General features: G+C 46.5%; 1 protein-coding gene and 1 pseudogene across 8 annotated transcripts in view, besides 1 other annotated feature; both read right to left on the bottom strand.

The window, feature by feature from the left end:
- The window catches only part of VWA2 (von Willebrand factor A domain containing 2), a 55,247-nt gene that overhangs the window by 28,605 nt on the left and 931 nt on the right, over positions 1-25,711 (bottom strand). For 2 of the 8 annotated variants that reach the window (NM_001272046.2, NM_001320804.1), the window contains exons 2-5: positions 17,131-17,192; positions 12,171-12,245; positions 10,848-10,981; positions 4,601-4,710 (exon numbers count right to left, since the gene is read on the bottom strand). In NM_001272046.2, coding sequence (NP_001258975.1) covers positions 4,601-4,710; positions 10,848-10,981; positions 12,171-12,245; positions 17,131-17,182 — 371 coding nt within the window. In that variant the 5' untranslated portion in view covers positions 17,183-17,192. Of the gene's footprint in view, positions 1-4,600; positions 4,764-10,847; positions 10,982-12,170; positions 12,246-17,130; positions 17,193-17,557; positions 17,635-23,535; positions 24,121-25,711 lie in introns of those variants that run through there. The other 6 variants (XM_017016179.3, XM_017016177.2, XM_017016181.2 and 3 more) reach the window with 6 other exon arrangements.
- Positions 739-939: a silencer, noted in NCBI's record as "peak1096 fragment used in MPRA reporter construct". NCBI's record gives its function as "represses an SCP1 promoter by STARR-seq MPRAs in K562 erythroleukemia cells {active_cell/tissue: K562}" and the evidence as "EXISTENCE:reporter gene assay evidence [ECO:0000049][PMID:32103011]".
- Positions 18,520-19,900, bottom strand: AURKAP2 (aurora kinase A pseudogene 2; annotated as a pseudogene).

The following is a 25,711-nucleotide window of genomic DNA, read 5'->3' as shown; positions in this document are numbered from 1 at the left end:
TTTTAGTGTCCTCAGTGACCCCACAACTGGGGCCAAAAATCAGTGCCTCCTTTCCTTGTTTGTTGTCACTTACAGTTGTCCTAGGAAACATAAGTGCTAATCATACACAGCCCCAGAAGAGCAGACCTTGTTCAGACACATAAGAAGTCTTCATTCTCCACCCTCAATGTCCTCAATCTTAGTGTGTCTCTCCATTTCATATGTCATAAATAATGCTCTCAAGCCCTTAGTTATGACCTCAACACAGCTGAAAAGCAGCTCAACTAATCATCTAGGGGGTGTGGGAGAGGGAGCGTGGTGAGAGGTGGGAAAGGACAGCTGGGTGGGGCCTATTGGATTGGCAGTGTAACCCACTGATCCTGGCCAGGGCCCCTGTTTCTTCTTAGCCTCAATATCCTCCTCTGTAAAATAAGGGAGGGAAAACATACCAGATGATCTCTAATGCTCCTTGCTCCTTTTTGTACCAATTCTTTGAGATTTGATTAGTTTTTCAGACAAGAGCAGAGGTGAATTCTTTGAGTCAAAGTCACTCAAATGGTCTTTGACTTTTAGCCCTAAACTTAAACCAACAGCCTTTTCCTCCGAAAATGCATACTGCATATAATGGGTAAATTTTTTTTTTAAACTACCTTATTGATAACTTACATAACATAAAATTCACACTTTTAAAGTGTACAATTCAGTGATATTTAGTATATTCACAAAGCTGTGCAACCATCACCACTATCTAAGTCCAAAATCTATTCTTTACCCCAAAAAGAAGCCCTGTACCATTAGCAGCCATTCCTCATTCCCGTCAGCCCCTGGCAATGACTAATCCACTTTTTATCTTCATGTATTTGCCTATTCTAGACACTTCACAAAAAGTAGAATCATGGCCAGGCATGGTGACTCATGCCTCTAATCCCAGCACTTTGGGAGGCCAAGGCAGGTGGATCACCTGAGGTCAGGAGTTCGAGACCAGCCTAGCCAACATGGCAAAACCCCGTCTCTACTAAAAATACAAAAATTAGCCAGGCATGGTGACGAGCGCCTATAGTCCTAGCTACTCGGGAGGCTGAGGCAGGAGAATCGCTTGAACCCGGGAGGTGGAGGTGACAGTGAGCCAAGATCGTGCCATTGCACTCCAGCCAGGGCGACAGAATGAGACTCCATCTCAAAAAAAGAAAAAAAAGTTGGCCGAGCACAGTGGCTCACGCCTGTAATTCCAGCACTTTGGGAGGCCAAGGCAGGCAGATCACGAGGTCAGGAGATAGTGACCATCCTGGCTAAAACGGTGAAACCCCATCTCTACTAAAAATACAAAAAAAATTAGCCGGGCGTGGTGGCGGGCACCCACAGTCCCAGCTACTTGGGAGGCTGAGGCAGGAGAATGGTGTGAACCTAGGAGGTGGAGCTTGCATTGAGCCGAGATAGCACCACCGCACTCCAGCCTGGGCAACAGAGCAAGACTCCATCTCAAAAAAAAAAAAGAAAACGTGGAATCATATAGTATATGACCTGCTATGCCTGGCTTCTTTCACTTAGCCTAATGTTTTCAAGATTCCTCCATGCTGTACCATGAATCAGTATTTTGTTCATTCTTACAGTTGAATAGTATTCCATTGTTTGGATATACAACATTTTGTTTATACATGCATTAGTTGGATATTTTGTGTTGTTTCTGTTTTGGAGCTGCTATAAACAGCACTGGTATGAACATTAGCATACAACTATTTTCGTGTGCACGTGTTTTTAACTCTCCTGAAGTGGAATTGCTGGGTCATATGCTAAATCTATGTTTAACATTTTGAGGAACTGCCAAACCTTTTTCCAATGTGGCAGGCACCACTTACAAATCCCACAAGCAATGGATGAGGGCTGTACTTTATCCACAGCTTTACCAACACTTGTTTTTGTCAGTCTCTGAGCCATCGTAGTGGCTATGACATGGTAGCTCACTAAGGTTCTGATCTGCATTTCCTTAATAGTTAATGATGTTGACAATCTTTTTGTGTACTTATTGGCCATTTGTCTATCTTCTTTGGAACAATGTCTACTTACAAGGTTTCTTTGTGAGGTGATAAAAATGTTCAAAAATTAGAATAGGGTAAAAGTTGCTTAACTCTGTAAATATATTCAAAACTATTGAATTGTACACATTAAATGTGTTAACTTTATGGCATATAAAATATATCTCCATAAAGCTGTTTTTAAAAAGTTAGCGTGTGTAACAGTCACAGGGGAGGGTGGGGAGACGCCTTTTAAAAGTGCAGATTCGGCCAGGCACGGTGGCTCACACCTGTAATCCCAGCACTCTGGGAAGCCAAGGCGGGCAGATCACAAGGTCAGGAGATCAAGACCATCCTGGCTAACACAGTGAAACCCCATCTCGACTAAAAAATACAAAAAATTAGCCAGGCGTGGTGGCGGGCTCCTGTAGTCCCAGCTACTCGGGAGGCTGAGGCAGGAGGATGGTGTGAACCCAGGAGGCAGAGCTTGCAGTGAGCAGAGATCGTGCCACTGCACTCCAGCCTGGGCAACAGAGTGAGACTTCGTCTCACAAAAAAAAAAAAAAAAAAAAAAAATGGGGGAGATTCCTGGCTGGGCACAGTGGCTCACACCTGTAATCCCAGCACCTTGGGAGGGCAAGACAGGTGGATTGCTTGAGCTCAGCAGTTCAAGACCAGCCTGGGCAACATGGGGAAACCCCATCTCTACAAAAATAGAAAAATTAGCCCAGTGTGGTGGCACATGCCTGCAGTCCCAGCTACTTGGGAGGCTGAGGTGGGAGGATGGCTTGAGCCTGGGAGGTGGAGGTTGCAGTGAGCCAATATAGCACCACTGCACTCCAGCCTAGGCAACACAGTGAGACTGTGCTTCAAAAACAAAGCGCATATTCCTAAATATACCAAGAGCAGACAGTGATTCCACAAATCTGGGAGGAAGCCCCTGCACTGTGTGTCTTAGTCAAAGATACGGAGCAAGGCTGAGACTGTTCTCTGTAAGAAGCCAATTCTCGGAGGCCCCAAGGGCACAAGGCTCCAGGGGAAGAAGAAAAGGCCGATGTGCACTACTGTATTTTATAAACACATATTAATGAGCTCTTTCCTTTTGTACTTTCTTGCATGATGACTTGCCGCTTGATCTGTTCGACGGCAGAGGAAAGGGCTGGGATAGAGAGTCTAAGATAAAAGTCAGTGAGGGTTACTAGGACATTCTTGAGGCCTGCAGGGCTCCCAGAGTCCCTGCTGTGCCCATTGTGGGGCCTCAGGCTTCTTGAGAGCACTGGTAGACCTACAGAGGCTTGCAACTGGAAAAAGGCCCTCAGAGCTCAGAGCCTTTGCAATGGGAGGAGACAGCCATAAATGGCTGTGACCATGGACTTCAGAGGACTTCAGTGGACACTAGTACAAGGGGCAGCAGGAGCCCAGAGTGGATCCACAGACCAGAGTGGCAAGGGGCAAATCAAGTCATTATTCTATGAGGGCTTGTGAAGAACATTATATATATGTGTGTATGTATATACATGTATGTGTCAATATGTGCATATGTATATATGCATATATTTACATATCACATTCATATATATTATATGTATATATAATATATAAAATATACACAAAATATAAGTGTATAAAAACATATGAGCATAAACACACATATCATATTCAGATGTACACATCAGCTAACTTATAATGTAAGTAAACATATGACTATATATATATTTAGAGGGCGATATTGTTTGGAGGTTTGTCCCCTCCAAATCTCATGTTGAACTGTAATCCAGTGTTGGAGGTGGGGCCTAGTACAAGTTGTCTAGATCATGGGGGCGGATCCCTCCTGAATGGCGTAGCACCATCCATTGGCGATGAGTGAGTTCACATAAGATCTGGTTGTTTTAAAATGTGTGTCACCTCCTCCTCTCTCTTGCTCCTGCTCTCGCCATGTGATGCACCTGCCCCCCCACCTTTGCCTTCCGCCATGATTGGAAGCTTCCTGAGGCCCTTACCAGGAGCAGATGTTGGCATTATGCTTCCTGTACAGCCTGCGCAACCATGAGCCAATAAAAGTTTTCTTCATAATTTACCCAGCCTCAGGTATTTCTTTATAGCAATGCAAGAACAGACTAACACATAAGGTGTGTATATGTATAAGCACATAACCAGATATTCATAATTTTTAAAGCACTCTTAATAACAGGGGGGCACTTACTCTTTTTAGACCACAAAAATGAGGCTCAGAGAAGTGTGGTGAACTGTCCAAGCTGCAGTGGTCACAAGGGACAGAAATGGGATTAAGACTCAGTGTTCCTCCTATTCCTCCAGGCTCTTAACCCCATTCGTGACCTTCAATAGCACTTTCTCCCAGGTAACTGACAACTGTACATCACAGCAGCAATTTTTTTACTTGCATTTAAATTCCTACCTGGGACATTATCATGCAATAAGGAGGGGCAGCCTTGAGAATGGAATTCATGTGACCAACTGTGCCCAGCTGGACTCCTGAAAGCAGCCCACAGTCCTCTCTGTGAGCCCAGAGCAGGACCAAACCCTTCAAGGGAGCAATTTTAAGAGCAGTTGGCGTCACCCTAACCACAGCAGTATCTGATCATACATACTTGAAAACCATCCTCTTGATTCTTGCCTTCACTTCCTGTTGGGTTGAAAATGAATCCAAGGGGAATTCCAGATGAGGAGTGGAACTGAACTGGAATGCTCCCACTCTGACCTGCAGTAGGAGACAGGGGGCTCAGGGCCCCGAGACTGGAGTCAAAAACATTCCTAAGAGGAAAGAAGGGGCAAGAAAAGTTAACAACCCTGCCTCCCATCCACTCAACAAACACCAGTGCCAGAGCTTTCTCCAGTCTCCCTAGAAGGAGGTTCCAAAGACCAATTTGGAGAACCTGGAAAAAAACAGCCAAATCTGTTTGTGTTCTGCACTGATGACCCCCAATTCAATCTTCTTGACTTACCTACTGCTAGGCAGCTGAACATTCTGGCAGTGTTCTCAGCTGAGCTTGTGCATCTTTAGGGCTGGGTCTCTGCTCACTTTTACCAACTGCCTCCTAGCTGCCAGTGCTGTCTTGAGCAGTTTCAGGCACTATCTCATTTAATCCACAGAGGCACTATTAACACCCACATTATGGTTGGAGAAACCCCAATATGGAGAATATATACCTCTGGCCCAAGGCAAATGCTTACTTGCCCAGGACTAGTAAGAAAGGCAGCCAGGCCATTGGACTTTGTGCCTGTGGTCTTCCCTAAGGCCCAGTTATACCTCCTGCCTTCTCAGCAGCCCACACAAGCCAGCAGCGAAACACTTACTGACCCAACTGGGGCTGCCGCAGAAGCTAACCATAGCCACCATCACTGATAACTCATCACTAACCACAGCCACCCCACAACCCGGTCCTTCATTGGGTGGTCAGCCCCGCCAGACCTGCCCCTGCCAAGCTAGAGGAAAGGCCAGGTCTCTAGACCACAGTCAGATTTGGGGGACAATCAGCATCTACAACTGAAACGACTAGTATGGGGGCTGAAGTTCTTCTGTAATTAAGGAGAACACTGGTGAATCCACATAGATTTTGTGTCCTAACTGAGGAGGCCATAGGAGATCCAATACCTTGCAAAACTGGAGAAAGGAAACTGAGTAAAGTTGCTCTCTGGATCCTTAAGGCACTAGCGTGTCTTGAGCAGAGAAGACTACAAACATTCAGCTTTCCTCCCGAGGGCCCAAGGCCTGCACCTAATCATTGGTTCTCCAAAACCCCTGGAGAAACAGCATTCTCTGTAACTATTCTCAAAACTAACCCTAGTTCTGGCCAAGAGTGCAAATGGGCCAAGTGAGTCATATTTAAGCAATGATGCTGCCCTCTGCTCCCCACTTGAATTCCCTCGCTGCCGTTCCCTCGACAGGCGTGGGACGTGGGAGATGATGGAAACGCCCTGCCACACCAGGCGGGCTGCATCTGCTCCGGATCAGCTGGGTGGGGTTCCTTTTTGCAGGCAGGATGCTCTGGGGAGGAGCTGTTGGGCACCTTAAGCAGAAAGAAATCTCAGTCTTCAGTGGACACATTGGGGAGACGGACACAGGAAGACGGACCAGTAGGTGATCTCAGGAAGAAGCTTCTGGGAAGGAGCGCTTCCTGGGTTTTCCTTGAATTTAGTGTGTGATTAAAAAGGGGCATCTCAAACCAGGGAGAAAAGATGATCTAGTCAGTCAATGATATTGGGACAACTGGAGAGCAATCTACCAAAAATAAAGGATAAACTGCAAATGAATTCAAGATTTTAGTGTGAAAAATCTAAATATGAAAGTTCTAGAAAAACTCAGGAGAATTTCTAAAATTTCAACGTGTAAAAAGACCTTACTTTCTATTACTTAGAATCCAGAAGCCATAAAGGAAAGATTGATAAATGTGACCACATGAAAAAAAAAAAACAACTTCTGTGGGACGAAACATACCTTAATGGCATAAAAAAATAAAGACAAAATGGAAAAATTATGTGCAATTCATGTTAAAGGGTTAGCCTCCTCAATATATAAAAAGGTGTCTGGGAATCAACATATAAAAGACCAACAATCCAACAGAAAATGGGCAAAGGATTTGAACAGAGATCACAGAACAGGAAATACAAGTAACTCTTTGATGGAAAGACACCTGGCCTCACCATAATGAAATAGCATTTTTCCCCATCCATTTAGCAAAAAAACATATACAATGTTTTCGGGGTGAAACAAGCATTCTCAAACATTGCTTGTAGAAATGTAAATTGGTACAACATCCATGGAAGGCAATTTTTTAATATTTATTGAAAATTAAAAATAATAAAATTTAAACAAATGCATAGGGCTACTGGAAATGTATCCTACTCGTATGTGTGAAATGATGTTATTTACGAGATCACAGTTTATTTGTAACAGCAAATATCCATCAATAGGGGTTAATTAGACCTGGAGAAATCCTTATGATGAAACATTTTAATGACCTGTAAAAAAATTATACCTGTATACAGATACGCAAAGATTTCCATGAAAATGTGAGGAGGAAAAAGGCATGAGAGAATAATGTGTACGGTAGGCTACGCTTTGTGTAATAAGAGAGAAAGAAGAATATTTATTCATATTGCCTGTATTTGCACAAAGTGATTCCGGAAGGGACTCAAGAACACAAGTTGAGGGACAGGGCAAATGGAAAATGTGTGGGTGAAAGGGAGACTTTTCACTGTACATCTTTTTATTGAACCCATGTGAATGAATTACTTAGTTGAAAAAATAACCTCCCCTGAGACCAACAGCTGGGTGTATTTACTTGAGTTAAACAGGAAGAAACAGAACTTCAAAACAAGAAGGAAGCAGCTTAAGTCAGTAGTTAAAGCATTTTGTTTAATTGGTGGTTTGGGAACAAAATAGTTGCCTTTTATCTTCAGTTTACTGTACGCTCAGAAACAGGCCCGCCCAGCTATCTTACCAGCCATAATCACTCTGCCCCAGTCACTACATTAGAGCCAGGAAGTGAACCTCTCAGCTTTTAAGTGTTAAGAGGAAGACTTCAAACACCTTAAATCCACCTTAACAACAGAGCATCCATAAAAGTCTTAATTTACAGCTACTTGACATTTCTTCTTGAAAACTAAAGTTAAAAAAAGTAAAACATGGCACGAATGAAATGCCTTGTACATGGAGACAACAAAAAGAGAATACAAAAAAATGCAGCAGCAAAAACATAAAGCCTGAAGCCACAAGTCAGAATAAACCATCTTAAATTGCCCTCATGCAAACCCTTCTGCAGCATGCCAAGGGGTCCACCTGACCTTGGAGGTCAAGACACTAATTCACTTACCCAAGTAAACAATTCCTCTGCTTCCCAAGTCTTGCTGCAAGAAAGCTTTCCTCAGGTTAAGCCCAAATCTAACTCCCTGAACACCCAGATTCTACCCTTAAAAAACAGAGCCATTGTCTGCTCTCTTTCACATGAAAATGATAATCGTGTTCCCTCATTCATAGAGGTTTCCAGGCCTCTGGCTGTCCTGGCTCCTTCTCATGGGCACTGACTGTTTGGCCCAAGTCTAACCAAGAAGTCAGCCCCTAGAACTCAATGACACTTTCTAGATGTGGTCCAGCAATGCTCAGGTTAAATTCCCTGAACTCTGGGATCTGCTCCCAATAGCATCAGCCAGGAAATTTCTTGTCACGGTTTTCTTACACCACTCCCTCCTCACACGCACATACACTGCCACACTGCTGGCCATTTGCTGTGTGATAGCAGGGTGTGAATTCTGAGGGTCAAGACAAATGGCCTAATGGAGCAAGTCCTGGGCTGAGTCAAAAGCCCCAGTTCTTCCACACTTAACTCTCTCCTGAGGTTGCTGTGTGACCCTCGGCAGTCACTTAGCCTCTCTGAGCCTGTTCCCTCATCTGTGAAACATGCATTAATAATCCATAGGACCCTTCATTCCCAACTAGCCAACCCCAGGGTCTCCAGGCTACTCATTTCAGGACACACTACATCAATGCCAAGGTCAACAGTGTTTAATCTTCATGCTTCTTCTCTTTATGTTATTCCTCCATGAGTAACTAATGACACCTGATAAGGAACCCTTTTAAAAGCAGGGTCCTGTGCAGAGGATGGTGGGGAACTGGCGCTTCTTGCCTGGCCCTTTTAGGGTCTATGCTGGGTTAACATCATGGTTAGAAATCTTCTGGGCTGCTTGTGCCTAGATTAAATGATGCCTGCTATGGTGTCCTCAGGTGCAAGGTGGTCTAAGGTCCAGGAAGTGTGCTCCAGCTCCCCAAATGACACACCATTCTGCAGAAAATCTGGCCCTCATTAAAAGCCATGTATGTTTCTAAATCCTAGAGGTTTTAACTAGGATTAATCTAGGAATGTTATCTTGGAAAACCACTTCCTTCCTCAACCTGTATGCAACCAGTCTCTCATCCAAGTAATGACAGCTTTTCCAGGCTACATCATCTCTTAATTTTTTTTTTTTTTTTTTTTTTTGAGACGGTGTTTCACTCTGTCGCCCAGGCTGGAGTGCAGTGGCACCATCTCAGCTCACTGCAACCTCTGCCTCCTGGGTTCAAGCGATTTTCCTGCCTCAGCCTTCCGAGTAGCTGGGACTACAGGCACGTGCCACCATGCCCGGCTAATTTTTTGTATTTTTAGTAGAGACAAGGTTTCATCATGTTAGCCAGGACGGTCTCAATCTCCTGACCTCGTGATCCACCCGCCTTGGCCTCCCTAAGTACTGGGATTACAGGCGTGACCCACCGCGCACAGCCTCTCTTAATTTTTAAGTTGACTTTTGAGTAGGTTCACGTGATTCAAAATCCAGAAAATATTTAAGTCTGTATTGATGAGTCTGCCTCTGGCCTTGTGCCCTGTCAACTCACTTCCCAACCTCCCCCTTAATGAAAACCACTGTCCTCAGCCTCTTACAAATCCATCCAGAGTGTATACAGATATAAGAAAACTGTATACCGATACAAGAAAACAAAGACAGATTTTCATTCATCCCCCTTTATCTTTTACATAGAAAGTAACATATTATACACACCATTTGCACCTTACTTTGACACTTCACTTGTTCTGGTGTTTTTCCATATCAGAGAGCTTCCTCACTCACTTTCTGGAGCTGCCTAGCGTTTCAATATACGAATGCATCATAAGGGATTTATCTGTCCTCCCTCAGCGTACATCTGGATTGCCTGAAATATTTTACAGTTTATACACATAATGCTGCAATGAATAACTCTGTATGGGTACGATTTTGCATGGGCATGTGTACTGTAGAATAAATTCCTTGATGTAGAATTGCTGGGTTAAAGGGTCCAAGCCTTTGTAACTGGGATGAATACTATTGGATTCTCCCCTAGAGGCTGCACCATTTCACACTCCACCAGCAGTGTATGACAACACCAGTTTTTTTCAAGATTTGCCAATGAAGCATGTCACCAAATTTAGGATTTTTTTTGCTAACCCAGTAAGTGAAAAACTGTATATTAGGCATAGGGTTTGCTGACTCTGAGTGAGTGAGGTTGGGCTTCTTTTCATATGCCTGAAGGCCTTGCGTGTTTCATTTTCTGGGAACTATCTGTGTTCCTTGCCCATTTTTCTATTGGATTGTTAAAAAAAAAAATGCCCCTTTTAGAAATAAGAGCCACAGCTACCACACTCTGCTATATTTAAGACCTACTATTTGAAGAACAAGAAATGAAGATACTGGCTGGATTCACTCAAGCAGGAATAGTTCCTCTCAAGTGCAAGAGAGGGTAGGAGCTGTGCTATTCAGTCCACTGAGGTAGTAACAGCTTTAGTCTGCTTAGCATGCTTTCCCTTTCCCATTGTTCTGCAAACACAACCCAACCTCTCTTTCCAGAGGAAAGTCAAATCTACTCCCTACCCCAAAAACATGGCAGAGCTCTTAACTGAGGTCCGGCCAGAAACTCTCTTCCCTCTGACTACTGTGATTGGTCAGTGGATTATCATGTGACCTAGGCCTGCCCAATCAGAACCCTCCTGGGACTTTGGCCAGATCTAGAGAAAGAAGTCCCCTTAATTTCTAATAGGGTCACTAGCTTGAGGAACAATGCAGGACAACTTGGCTGTGTCAGGAAAACCTGCCTGAGAAGGAAGTCAACCAAAAGAAAACAAAATTGAGAGAAGGGAAAAAAAAAAAAAGAAAAAGATGCCTTATAGCCTCAACTCAGCCCTTGGATCCCACCATGCCAGGAACCAGGATTCAGCCCCTTGGTCTTCCCAGCTCCACAAGCGAGTAGATGCCTCCTCTGCTTGAGACCGGGTTTCTGTCCCTTATCACAGAAGACGCCCTAACACAAACACCCACAAGACTTGCACTCACCCTCTCGGGGCTGATGTCCAGACCGTCACAGACTGTGATGGCAAAGTGCTTGGACCTTTCAAAGCTCCCTTTCCCGACGCTGTTAGACCCATCTAACAGAAACATGATGTCCACTGCAGCCGAGCACCACATCACTAGGGAGAGCGGGACAGACAGATGACAACCAGGAGCAAGTCGGTCTCACTTCTGAAGCAGAGTGAAGGCACAAACAGCCTTGTGGTGGGCCAGGCTGCTGTCCCTCTTAGCATGAAAGGGGAGAACTGCAGAAGCAGCCCTCCTCTGAAGCAGGAAGCACACGCACCACAGGTGTGCTGCTCACAAATGTGCCCTTACGTGAAAGCCTTTGTATTACAATAATGGAAGAACCTAGTTCAACAATATCAATTACGTTCTATGAGGGGGTCTACTGGGCTAGTGAGCAGCACTGAAAAGGCTTGGTCCCAGGCCTCGGGGGACCACAGTCTAGTGTGGACACAGGCACCCTGATATGTGAGGCCATGTTACCCAAGAGTTCAGTAGCAGTAACAGCAGCAATGTGGAGGGATACTGATGAGGGTGGAAGAGGAAGGAATATGGTGGGAGATGGACATGGCAAGTAGCCACCCCGTTACCTGGTGAGCAGGTAACAGAAAACCTTGAGGCACAGGCCAAGTAATTCAATAATAAAGATTTACTGAGGCTGGGCATGGTGGCTCACACCTGGAATCTCAGCACTTTGGGAGACCAACGCGGGCGGATTGCTTGAGTTCAGGAGTTCGAGATCAGCCTGGGTAACATGGCGAAACCCCATCTCTACTAAAAACACAAAAACTAGCTAGGCGTGGTGATGCATGCCTATGGTCCCAGCTATTTGGGAGGCTGAGGCAGGAGGATTGCTTGAGCCCAGGAGGTTGAGGCTGCAGTGAACTGAGATTATGCCATCGCACTCCAGCCTGGGCGACAGGAGCAAGACCCTGTCTTTAAAACAAAACAAAAAAAGGTTTACTGAGCTGTTTTGCTTGTTTTTGAGATGGAGTGTACCTCTTGTTGCCCAGGCTGGAGTGCAATGGCGCAATCTCAGCTCACTGCAACCTCCACCTCCTGGGTTCAAGCAATTCTCCTGCCTCAGCCTCCCGAGTAGCTGGAATTACAGGCACCCACTTTTGTTTGTTTTTAAACCAAGTGATTTGGTCAGGTCCCTGTTTGGGGAAAATGACTCTGGCCAGAGCATGAAAGGAAGATGGGAAAGGGGCAGAAACTCTCTGGAAGAACATGGTTCTCATCCAGTCCATCACACAGAGGTCTGAGTGGGCATCTGGAGGGTTAAGAAGAACCTGGGCTTACTTTTGCTGGCAGCTGAAATCTTCCCGATGGTTTCTTTGCTTACATGGACTTCCTGGAGAGGGAGAGATGGGGGCACTAGGAGAGAAAACACCAGAAGCAGCCATTAAAATGCTGAGAGGGGAGGAGGCTCAATCTCCACATTAAGTGACTTGACTAAACAGGTAACATCAGAGAAACCTAGAATGTGGGGGAGTGATGATTCTTGCATCTCAAAAATTACCAGACGGATAACATAAAGAAACCCCCCAATTACCTCACTTCTATGAGGTATCTTTGTATTTAAATGTGGGTAGTTTGAAGACAAAGAATAAAACTAACACACAGTGGGGTTCTAGAGAGTCTGTGATTCTGAAAACTTTTGTCCCTGGTCAGGTGTAATAAGCGGGGAGGGGGGTGAGGTGTCAGGTCAGGTGTAATAACTGGGGGGAGTGGGGAGAGGAGGGGGGAGTGGGGGAGAGGAGGGGGGAGACGGGGACGGGGGAGGGAGAGACGGGGAGGGGGGACGGGGAGGGGGGAGAGGGGAGAGGAGAGAGGGGAGGGGAAATGAAATTGGAGGGTGGGGATAAGACACTGAGGAGGCCACAGGATTGCTGAACAGTGAACCAACCATGATGGAAGACAATAAGGGATCCCCAGAAGGGACATTTGGAAAAGCCAACATCCTCTCTGCAACTGCACCTGGTAGGTGTCTAGCAGCAGAAGAGAGGTACACTCAGATGCTTTGTAAATGTCAATGTGCAGTGACAGCACAGAGGAAACAAAGCTAGAGGGGCAGAGCCCAGGAGCGGCCAGGTCACGGAAGTGGGGCAGATGAAGGAACACAAGCAGGCCGGGTGCAGTGGCTCATGCCTGTAATCCCAGCACTTTGGGAGACCGAGGTGGGCCGATCACCTGAGGTCAGGAGTTCAAGACCAGCCTGGCCAACATGGTGAAACCCCATCTCTACTAAAAATACAAAAATTAGCCGGGTGTGCTGGCGGGCGCCTATAGTTCCAGCTACTTGGGAGGCTGAGGCAGGAGAACTGTTTGAACCTGAATGGCAGATGAGCATGGGGGCTGCTGTGGAGAGAGGTGAAGGAGATTCAGCAGGGAGGCCAGGAGGAATCACACAGTACAGGGCACCTGGTCTCAAGGTTTGCAACTGCCAGGAAAGTGATGACAAGAGAGACGCCAAAAGAGGGTTTCAGTCTGGGGGAGTGACACCAATGACCCACGTTATTGGTCAACCTACTAACTCAGCACTGCCTCGGCTGGTTCCAGCTCTGTCTTTCCCGGCTCCTTCCCGTTCACTAGTCCCCCATGCAAACTAAACTAGTCTCTCCCCATACCATATCTTTGAGCAGACAGCTCCTGCTCACCTAATACTCCCTCCTCCCCTCAATCTCTACTCATGGAGATTCTAAGTCAATGTGCCAGCAGTCAGCTCCACAGCCAAAAGCTGCCAGACAAATCTCTCTCATTAGGTCTGGCACAGTCTGCCGCTGCTGTTTTGCCACCAGAGACAGAAACAAGACTTAGACTAGAAAGAAAGACAGTAGACAAAATTAAAGAAAAATCTACTTGCATTTAAAAAATGGCATTTATTGGGACAGAGGCAGGGGCAGCATTAAAAAGAAAAACAGGCCAGCGGGGTGGCTCACGCCTGTAATCCCAGCACTTTGGGAGACTGAGGCGGTGGATCACCTGAGGTCAGGGGTTCAAGAACAGCCTGGCCAACAGGGTGAAACCCCATCTCTACTAAAAACACAAAAATTAGCTGGGTGTGTTTCGAGGCTACTTTCGAGGCTGAGGCAGTTGAATCACTTGAACCCGGGAGGCGGAGGTTGCAGTGAGCCAAGAGTGCACCACTGCACTCCAGCCTGGGCGAGAGGGAGACTGAATCTCAAAAAAAAAAAAAAAAAAAAATTACAGGTTTTCTGCTCACTGCATTCAGAGATCACGACCATGCCAACTCCTGGGCCCACTGCGGCCCACCCCATAATGCGGTTCTGTTCCCACGAGCCCCTCACCTTCCTGCCTGGAAGCTCCCTGAGGACAGAAGCATTTCCACCCAGTCCTCCACAGAGCCTCGCCCAGCCCTCTGCGTAAACACATAGGCACTAAGGTTTCCTGAGCTGAGTCCATGAATTATTCTCCTGACAAAGGGCCCAGTAGCCGAGGAATCCTAAAGACCCCAAAAAGAACAGAAAAATACAGTTTCTTTTAAAATATCTTACCAGCAAACTCTCCAGCTGAAGGCAGGCCAGCCATCTCCCCAGGATGAGAAGGCAAGGGAGCTCTGTGAGCACAGACCACTCACTAAAGATGTCACTCAGCTAACTAACTGTGCCTCTGTGCCCTGTGCTCAGCTGTCATGGCAGGTGCCAGGCTTCAGATGAGCCCACCTTGAGCCTGGGTGACATCCCCAATGCTCCCTGTGAAATGTCTTCAGGACTGCAGAGGCTCCCCCTGAACAGGCAGCTGCTTCATGTGTGATTGCTGTTGCTTTTTCCAACCAAGTCGGCAGCCCCCTCTAAAGACCAGCTGCCTGGGCTCCGGAACTTCAGTCTGCAGGATGGGTGACGCTATTGCGCAGGCAGAGTTGAGAATCACTAATCTAGTCAAATTCTTTCACTTTACAGATGTGACAGCCAAGTCTTAGAGAGAACTTTTGTACATTCTTATCTTTCCAGAGAAGCTGAGCGGTACAGCCAGCCCAGGAGTAGGGAGAACTGGGTGTTAGTCCCATGTCTGCTACATAGCTGTGTGACCTTGGGCATGTCACAGGGCCTCTCTGGGCCTCCCCTGCCTCATCTGTATAACCCAAGGATGATCAGAACAAGTGCATGTGATTGCAATCTGGAGGCTGGACAGGGCCACAGAAGGCAAAGGTCCATGACAAGCTGGAACAGAACCTGGACTGTGCCCAGGACTCCAGAGACTTCTTTCAGGCCCTGGCCCCAAACACATCTCACCACTCCCCAACCCCTTGGCCATGAAGCTGCTGTGTTATACTTTCCATCCACCCCACCTGGCTCAGAGACAGAGGGAAACAGTTGGGCTGGGCAGCCAGGCTGGAGCCACCAGCCCTCAACTTCCACCAGCATTTCTGATCCTCGCTAGGTTCCAGGAAACAGGCAGGTATTAACAGTAGCCAATTCAGCAGAGAACAAATACCTACTCATGGAAACACAGACCAGGGAGGAACTGCAAGAAATAATCCCAGAGGCCACTGTGCAACCCCTTGGCTTTACAGAAGGGGACCCCGAGCCTCACGAGGCTGTGACAGCTTGGCCGCCCAGTCCACCTGTTCTTACTTGTAAGACAACAATCTGCAGACACATCAATTCCTTCCTACCTTCTCATATTTCAAAGAGACTAGAACTTGAAAGGGAAAAAGTGGGAAGTAAAAAGAAAGTGGATTTGCTCCATTATTTATTCATTAATCTATTTCTGAAGCATAAACCGTGAGCCATGCCCGCCCTGAAATAATATAGTGGTGAATAAAGAATGTTAAAGAATGTACAGTCTCTTTCCTTGAGGACCTTACATCTTATGGAAAAGATGTCATTTTTTAAAATGCACACAAAACTCATATCTGTGTTAAGTGCTACAGAGCAAGGTCTACAAGGGGTTTGAAGAGGGGGATGTGACTTGATCTGGAGGTCCCAGGGGAATTGTGCTGGGGCCTAAGGATGGGGAGGAGTTTGCCAGGGTGGCAGTGTTGGGATGAGGGGGTGATCCAAGCACAGGGGCAACATAATTCAGAATGTTTTTGGTGGCGGGGAGCAAGGATGCAGGGCAGGACTGGAAGGAGAGTGGGCTGTGGTGCAGAGGGCGTAGAGGGGACTCAGGATGGCCACGGGGTAAGATGAGAAAAGCCTCTTAAGAGCCACAGAAAGTCACTGAAAAGTTTTAGCTGGGGGTGAAGAGGGGTCCAGACATGATCCAATTTGCATTTTGAAATGGCCGCTGTAAAGACATGGAGTCAACCCAAATGCTGATCAATGATAGACTGGATAGAGAACATGTGGTACATATACACCATGGAATACCATGCAGCCATAAAAAGGAACAAGATCACGTCCTTTGCAGGGACATGGGTGGAGCTAGAAGCCATTCTCCTCAGCAAACTAATGCCGGAACAGAAAACCAAACACCGCATATTCTCACTTACAAGTGGGAGCTGAGGGCCAGGCGCAGTGGCTCATGCCTGTAATCCTAGCACTTTGGGAGGCCAAGACGGTCAGATCACCTGAGGTCAGGAGTTCAAGACCAGCCTGACCAATATGGTGAAACCCCTTCTCTACTAAAAATACAAAAATTAGCCGGGTGTGGTGGTGCGTGCCTCTCATCTCAGCTACTCAAGAGGCTGAGGCTGGAGAATCACTTGAACCGGGAGGTGGAAGTTACAGTGAGCAGAGATTGCGCCATTGCACTCCAGTCTGGGTGACAGAGAGAGATTCCATCTCAAATAAATAAATAAATAAAATAAGTGGGAGCTGAACAATGAGAACATATGGACATGGGGATGGAAACAACACACACTGGGGCCTGTCGAGTGGTGGGGTGGGGAGGGAGAGCATCAGGATAAATAGCTAATGCCTGCTGGGCTCAATACCTAAGTGATGGGTTGATAGGTGCAGCAAACCATCATGGCACACACCATGGCACACATTTACCTATGTAACGAACCTGCACATCGTGCACATGTACCCTGGAACTTAAAAATAAAAAAAGAAATAGCCACTGCATGGAGAATGGGTTGGAGGAGGACCGGGGGACCCAGGGAGGCCAGGCAGGAGGCTACTGCAGTGGTCCAAGCACAAGATGACATGGCTTGGACTAGGGAGGTGGCCATGGAGGGGAGATGCAGGTGGATTCAAGAGACCTTTAGAATTGAAAATCAACAGGATTTGAAGCAAGCAACCCCCCTACTCAACACGCCAGTACTTCCCCACCACCAATAAACACATCTTACCTCTGGAAAACAGGAAAACACAGACGGCTTCCAGCAACAGGAAAGGGGGCATGTTGATATAACTACAGGGACACAGGAAAAGAAAGAAAGTATCAGCAATTAGTTCTGTGAACGCCCCAAGTCACACCGCCAAACAAGATGCCAACTCAGCCTTTTCCAGGTCACAGATATGACCCTGGAGGCCCTCACCACAATAACTAGAAAAGTCCCCAATTCCCAAGTCATGGAAGACTTTACTCCAATTACTTTGGTTTTAGACACCAAGCTAACATCTTCCCCAGGATACCTCTCTCATCCACCCCCAAATGCACCCCAGCCCTCCACGGGCCCTGGGAAGGTGTGCTCTCCTGCTCTCCCCAGAGTTAAGAGGCCCGGGTGTTGGCTCTGCCTGGGCCCTGACTAGCCACGTGACCCTGGGCAAAGTCACTTCTTTCTCAGGGTCTCCATTTCTTCATGAGGAGTTAGAATTCAACAGGCTGAAGATCTGATTTTCAATGTCCTCATCTTCTGAAACCTTCTAATGTGGTTAACAAACCTTCCCCTAGCTAAGAAGACAACATCTGAAGAAAGCCTGCACTATCTAAATTATCCACTAATCATCTAAATTATTTATAAATCGTAATCCGGCTGAAGGAAGAGGACTTTTTTTTTTTTTTTTGAGATGGAGTCTTATTCTGTAGCCCAGGCTGGAATGCAGTGGCACGATCTTGGCTCACTGCAACCTCCGCCTCCCGGGGTTCAAGTGATTTTTGTGCCTCAGCCTCCCGAGTAGCTGGGACTACAGGTACATGCCACCACACTTGGCTGAGAAAAATTATTTTTTGAGAAGTTTTTTTAAAAAAAAACTTCACCACCCATGCAGGAGCCACACCTGCCCCATGGTGGCAGAGAGCCTACATGAACCCAGGGGCCCTCATCCTCATCCTGGTGCCCTGTGACCTTGGGAGAGGCTGTGGTTCCTCCCTTACAAAGTGAAGAGAAGGGCCCTGATGTGGCTAAGCTGTTTTATGGTTTTAAAAGTCCCATTGGACTCCTGCCTCCATCATGGACCTATGATGTTTGGACCTCAAGATACATCCAGCTCCGTTTTGTTTTTTTTTTTGACATAGTTATTTGCATATTTAAAGTTTACACACATGCCATGACTCCAGTGTTTTTTAAAAAATAAGCCCTTCGCGGTGGCTCTTGTCTGTAATCCCAGCACTTTGGGAGGCCGAGGCAGGTGGATCACCTGAGTTCAGGAGTTCACGACCAGCCTGGCCAACACGGTGAAACAGTGTCTCTACTGAAAATACAAAAAATTAGCCAGACATGGTGGTGGGCACCTATAATTCCAGCTACTCAGGAGGCTGAGGCAGGAGAATCACTTGAACCTGGGATGCAGAGGTTGCAAGTCCCTAAATGGAGGTAGAGCATGTGTTCCTATTTTATACACTCTCATATGGGAGATAAGTGGTTAAAGATGACTAGAAACCCAACCAGGCCTACCGGGGTGCTGGACAGACACAGAGCATTTCTAAGGGAATGCCACCAGAGAACAAATACAAATCTGTACAGAAATCTTTTTTTTTTTTTTCACACTTAAAAAGAATCACATCCTCATTCCAACAGCTTTACTAGGCTTGGCCAACCCAATAAGTGACACACTCACTCAGGTACTGGGAAGGTTATTGCACAGCTCCTTAACCGATCGAGTCAGGGCAAAGTGGTCACTTTCCCCACAGCCACACTCTGGATTTGTCTCCTGGGAAGAAACCATGCCTGGCCCAGGCTGAGGGGGCAGCTGCAGCGGAACCTTGCCTCCAGATTACGAACCAGTATAAGTAGCACAATTCTTGTGGCTACTTTCACTTCAGAGTGTCATGTTTATTGATGTGGAGCTTTCTGAATAGGGAGGTTCAGGCATTGCCAGGTGCTCAGTAAAACAAATATTTCTTGTAGCGCTCTAGATTGAGGGCAGCAGTCAATGGTAAAATAAATTTTAGTAGCATGTTCCTGAAAGGTTATACAGCAGCCCTGGTTCAAGGATTTCTCCCCCTGCACGATTCCTAAGACTGTTTGCTAGTTGATTCTTTGTTTTGGGAATTTAATGGTTTTGATGAATTTGCTGTGATCCAGGGGTGTTCAAGTACTTCTCTGAGCATTGGCCTCTGGCTGGGATTATGCTTCAACAGTCTTAAAATGAGGTCCTGGGTCCCTCTGTTACAGTCAGGGAATGTGAATTCAACCCATGATACTCGTTTTTTTTTTTTTTTTTTTTGAGATGGAGTTTCTTTCACTCTTGTTGCCCAGGCTGGAATGCAATGGCATGGTCTTGGCTCACTGCTACCTCTGCCTCCCGGGTTCAAGCGATTCTCCTGTCTCAGCCTTCTGAGTAGCTGGGATTACAGGCATGCGCCACCACGCCCAGCTAATTTTTGTATTTTTAGTAGAGACGGGGTTTCACCATGTTGATCAGGCTGGTCTTGAACTCCTGACCTCAGGTGATACGACCGCCTCGGCCTCCCGAAGTGCTGGGATTACAGGCGTGAGCCACCATGCCCAGCCCAACCCGTGATATTCTTTTGTAGGTCTCTTGGTGTACGTTTGCCTCAAAAGGAGGCTTCCCAACTAAAAATTCATAGCAAAGAACACCAAGGCTCCAGAGATCTACCTTCTCACCATGCATCTGACCTCCAATCATCTTGGGCGGGGGGCGGGGGCAGGTAGTCCAGGGTGCCACAGAGAGTGGTCCTCCTGGAGGATGGAGCATGTACTGACCACCCAATATTCTCAGACTGTGTGGTTATTTCCATGATGCCACCAGATTCTACCTAATTCTAAAATATGCACCACTTGGAACTGTCTATAGAGCTCCTTGGATTTCAAAGCAGTCCTAAAACAAACTATTATAAAACAAATGTCCCTGCCAGCTGAGAGTCTTCGTGCAGGGTCTTCCTGCTTCAAATGACTAAGAGGCTCAAGTCTTCTCCTGATCTAAGTGAAAATCAGACACCTAACATGGCAAGAGCCAGTATGTCAGGAGCTCTACAGACACGATCAAAGGGAGAAAGGTGGTGAGAAGGATACTGGCCTGCAGCACATACTTCCTGCTAGCTTCCAGCCCTGTGCATGCCAGCAAGAAAGACTCATTTTCCCCTAAGGACATTTTTTTTTTCCCTCTTACTCCACACCACAGAGGCAGAACAAGCCCCCACCTGCCGCCTGTGAGTCAGGCAATGGCGAGGCATTGAGGATGCGGTGAAGAGCTTCTCAATGCTGTCTCTATTCCTTAGGTTCAGGACGATTTTACGGAGTTACAGCTTCTGACCCTGGGCACTGGCAGGAGACTGAGGCTCAGGCCTGTTAATTATTTATAAAACAAGGATTCTGGCAGCCACCTCCCCAGGCTGCTGTGAGGATAAAGTGGAAGGAAGTACAGAAGGTTCCTGCCACATAGGAAGGCACCCAGTAAACACAGTCCCCTTCCCTCCGTGCTATGAGACCAACTTAAGCAGCTTGATCTCGATCCACTATGTGCCTCTGCTTGCCCAGCTGCATGTTTTTCCAGAGGCGCCCAAGTTTCTGCTCATTAAAATAGAATGTATGTTGGCAATCTGCAAATGCACACAGGATGTCAAATGCCTTCTCCTAGCTGTTTGGATCAATCAGACGGTGTTGGCTCTGCAACTTCTGCAGCACCTCCCTCCCCTGTCCCCCTCAATACAATCCCTACTGTCACACAGCCCACGCTGAAACTGCCCAGTGATACGTTTGTCTTGACTGCCAGGCGGCAAATGCCTGAGACTACAGACTATCTAGTCTCTGCTGGAGCTCCAGAGACCTGCATGTGCCTGATGTATAGTAGGGGAGGTCCTTGCTTGCTAGATAAACAAAGCACCAGAATACCTCCTGTGGGAGGGCTAGAGGGACCCTTTCAGGGCATCATTGCACTCACTGTGTTCACTGCATTCTTTTTTATACCAAGATTAATGAAATGAACGCTATTGCGATGATGTTGAAGTATTGTTTGCACTCTATTCCCATCCAGTCATCTCGAATAGGCAGCTCATTCCCCTCTCATATCAAAATTTTCCTACAATACTAATTTGACCTCCAAAATACAGCCCTACACCTGGAAAGCTTTTTTTTTAAAGGGTGAATTCCACAATAAAAATCAACAGCTACTACCATGTAATGAGCATTTCTTATGTGCCTGCCACAAGACACACAGGCTCCGCCCTTCATGTCTTCTCTCCTAATCCTCGCAGCCAGCCAGGGAGGGTGTACTATTCCCATTTCACAGGTGAGGAAGCTGAGACATGGAGAAGTGAAGTGTTCTGCCCCAGCTTACACAGCTAATCAGTGGATCAGATTCCATTCTGGCCTCCTAGCGTCACCTTCCCGGTTCTGGGGGAAGCTGCCACAGGATGTTCAACAAGGGAGAGGTGTTGGGGCTGCCGGTAAGAGGTGACACTCTGGCAGAAGTCCAGGCTCCAGAAAACAGGCTATGAACTAGAGGCAGTTCAGAAGCACAGAAGCATAATTTAAAAAATCTGCCACCCTGAATCCTGCACGTTGGCAATTTCTCCCCCAGCTAATACCTGCCAGCAGCTCTCACACTCCATCCGGCACAAGATGAGATTTACCAGGGCCCTCTGGCTTCCTACAAAGTAGTTGGGAGTGATCTGCAAGCCAGGGGCTGGAACAGACCACCCATTCTCAGGTATGCCTCACCAAGCCTTTTCCGTTACACCTCGCTCATCACCTTGTTCCCTTCTGTTCCATTACTCATGCTAATCCCACTTGTTATTCCTGGCTTCTGGAGTTCTCATCCATGGATGTAGATGCTCTCCACGCCCCTGATCTCCTCAACAGAGTGTGGCCTTCGGATCCTGGTTCCCACGCAGCACCAGCTGCACTTGGGACAGCAGGCATGTGAAGTCTGCTGCAGGATGCCACAAAAATTTCCACTGTGCACTACCCAGGAATTACATTTTCCGTGACACAGGAAGAAATAAAAGCCAAAACAAAGCTACTTTTTAAAAAAAGAAGAGCCGGATTGGGGATCGCTGAAGGCAGTTTTGCAGGATAATGTCTGCCTTCTCTACCATCGGAAATGAAATGAGTGTAGGGAAAAAGAGGAAACCATTTCTACCTCCTTACAAAATGCAATTCCAACCCCAAATAGATTAGCCGTTGGCAGCCTCCTCCAAATCAGCAGGATGGAAATCTGAGCCCTTTACCAGAACAGTACACACCTGAATGGGAAGACTAAAATCAGAGGTAAAAATATCCGGTGGGGAAGTCCTTGCTGGAACAATCATCTTCCTTGTAACCTTTGGTAAAATATTTGGCTCAGGCTCAGAGTGTCAACGGAGGTAGATGACACATTTCTAGTTTGATATGGCAGAGAGAGCATTTAAAAAGCTGCCTGGGGAAAGTCACGCTCCCCCTAAAATAATTAGTAAATTTTCAGAACCCAGTGGCCTAACAACCAAAAGTCCGCACCAAGAAATAAGCAACATGCCATTTGTGAACTCCCTGGAGGGTTAGGGAGAAAAGCTGGGAAGATGGGCATAGATCACAAGCCCTCCCATACTTTCTGCATCTGCAGACACATTTTTAGCCAGAAGAGAGTTCATGTTTGTTTTGATGGATGATATCTGAAAATGCTTTAAATTGTACACAACCCGATTTCACTGTATGGGACACTGGGATTAGCCCTGAGGTGTGGGAGAACACACACAGGACCCAAAGTCCAGAGACAGGATTCCAACCTAGCTCTGCTCCTAGCAGCTGGGTGACTGCAAGCAACAACCTCCCCTGCCTTAGTTCCTCATCTGCCAAATGGGGAGAATCTGTTTCATAAACTCCCCCAGTGTTGTAAAGATCCAGTGAGACAGGGTAGAAAAGTCTCTGCTAAATAGTAAAATGTTTTCTAAATGAATGATGTTAAAAGTTTATCATTACATTTAATATATTCATTTCATTTAACAACACCCATAATCTGTAGGGTAGATATTATCATTTACATCTTTATAGATGAAGAAATGATCTTGGAGAAGACGAGACCCAAGGCCACAGAGCGAGAAAAACCCAGCTTAGAGTCCAGCCCAGGACTTCTCAGCTATGACCAGAAGTACGCGGTACACAGATGCACTGGTACACAGAGGCACGTGGTACACAGAGACATGCGGTACACAGAGGCACCAGTACGCAGAGGCACACAGTACACAGATGCACTGGTATGCAGAGGCACTGATACACAGATTTACTGGTACACAGGGGCACTGCGGTATGCAGAGGCACTGGTACACAGAGGCACGTGGTACACAGAGGCATCGGCATGCAGATGCACCTGGTACTATGAGGCATGCGGTACACAGATGCTCTGGAAAGAGCAACCATCTGATGGCAGGATACCTGAGCATGAGCCTCCTGGGTAAATTCCTCCACTTCAGTCTCTCAATTTCCTTCTCTCTAAAACGGAGGTAACACCATCCATCCTATTTCCCTGGAAAGGTTGTCGCCAGGACCCCATGAAACCACGATGCAAAGGCTCCCGGGGCAAGGGCAAAGTTTCCTAATTTGAGACCAGGGAAATCTAGTTCAAGAGAAGAGACTCATGATCAGGAAAAGGAAGGGGAGGACCGAGGGTAGTAATCACATTCAAGGAAAGTCAGCAGCTAATGTGGTAGGTGGAAGAGGAAAATTAAGCAGTCCAGAGCTGTTTAGAAGACGAAAGGTCACACAAAGGAAGGGACTTCAAATACATTCAGCTGTCCCACTGTGCTGCCTTGGGGTTATACAGAAACATTTTGCAGGGAATGCACACACACAATCACCAACAGACTTCCAATAGCCTCCTTGATGATAGGGAGGGGGGTGGGATTTGTTTTAAAATAGCCTTATTGGATAAAATTAAAAATGAGCAATTCTATTGCAGGCCTCCCAATTAAACTAGGTTTTCATTTACTGATATATGCACTGCAAAAGTTTGAGGACCACTGTTCTAAAACAACCTCGTAGTGTTGCTGACCCTCTCATTGCTATAATTACATGAAATTTCATTTACCCAGTAAAAATTATTAAGCATCTGCCCTGTGCCCGGTACCCTTCCAGGTACTGAGGATGTGAGGACAATGCTTTGTAAGATGCACACACATCAGGGGAGTTATTAACAAAAAAGGCATTTTCACCACAAGCTTATGATGCCGTCACTGCCAAATAACTATTCTGTTTTTATGATGCTCATTAAAAAGCCAGGAGGGGAAATGTCAGTGTATATTACCGAGCGAAAGACACCAATCTGAGAAAGCTACGTACTACATGATTCCAATCATAAGACATTCTGGAAAAGGTAAAACTATTGAGACAGTAGAAAGATCAGTGATTACCATGTGTTGTAGGGAGGGTGGGATGCACAGAAGATTTTTACGGTAGTGAAACTATGCTGTTTGATACTATAATGGCAGATTTATGTCATTTTACATTTGTCCAAAGCCATAGAATGTACAACAGGAGCAAACCCCAGGGCAAACTGTGAACTTTGGGTCATAATGATGTGCCAGTGTCGGTTCATCAGTTGGAACAAATGTACCACTGCAGTGGGGGATGCTGACAATGGGGGAGTCTGTGCATAGGCGGGGACAGGAGGTATATGGGAAACCTGTACCTTCTGCTCAATTTTGCTTTGAACCTAACACTCTAAAACTGGGTCTCAGTTTCCTCATCTGTAAAAACATGGGCTTCTGACTATGATTCGGATATCCCAGGGGCTTGTGCCTATTGAAGAGAGGGGAAATACTGGCTGTAATCTCTGTACGGTAGACCAAAAACCAGATTTAATGAAAATACACTGATGGTTTTCAGCCAGAGATGATGAGGAAAGCAATCCTCTTCTCCAACCTGGGATTTGCCTGGGGACCTAGTCTGAGAAATTCTTACACTACTAGGAGATGGCTCTGGGCTGGATTTTACAAAAGAAGAGTAAGGCCTGAGGAGCTCTGAACCCCCATCAGTCACAAGAGAGGATGGCTTCAGCCTGCTGAAAGCCAGCAGCATTTACAAATTCATGCCTGTGGCTTTTGCCAACTCTAGTGGTACCTTTCTGACCTCTTCACTTCTCTGACTCTTCAATAAATCGACATTTCTTAATATAGTGTCACCTTAACAGCAAAAGAGACCTTGAATTTTTGGGACTGAATTTATAAAACACTTAGAGGTTCTGGGGTTTTACTTAAAGCAGCTTGTAATTTGAAAAATGTACACGTTCTAATTATTCCAATCTCCAAGACATCAAACACATGGCATGAGGTCCCCATTGCTAAGTCCCCTTTCAGCTTCAGCTGGAGCCCTTGATTCCACAATCACAAGCAGCAAGGTGCCCTCCTCCCTTCTCTTCTGTCTGGTGCCCCCAGCAAGTTTTCAAGGTTCAATTCTGAGACTCTCCCATTCACCGTCCCAGCAGGTGGCCAAGGGCCCAAGGCGGGAGGGAAAGGTCGGCTTAGCTAGGGAAAGTTTTGTTAGCCTTATTGGAAGGGAAGGAGACATGCAGGAAGCAGGGCTGAGCCAGGTGGGGGAAGTCACCAGAACGACA

Source organism: Homo sapiens, chromosome 10 (assembly GCF_000001405.40).
Source record: "Homo sapiens chromosome 10, GRCh38.p14 Primary Assembly".
In the NCBI taxonomy this organism is placed as follows: domain Eukaryota; kingdom Metazoa; phylum Chordata; class Mammalia; order Primates; family Hominidae; genus Homo; species Homo sapiens.
The sequence above is the reverse complement of the archived record's forward strand: the minus strand, read 5'-3'. Positions and strand labels throughout refer to the sequence as shown.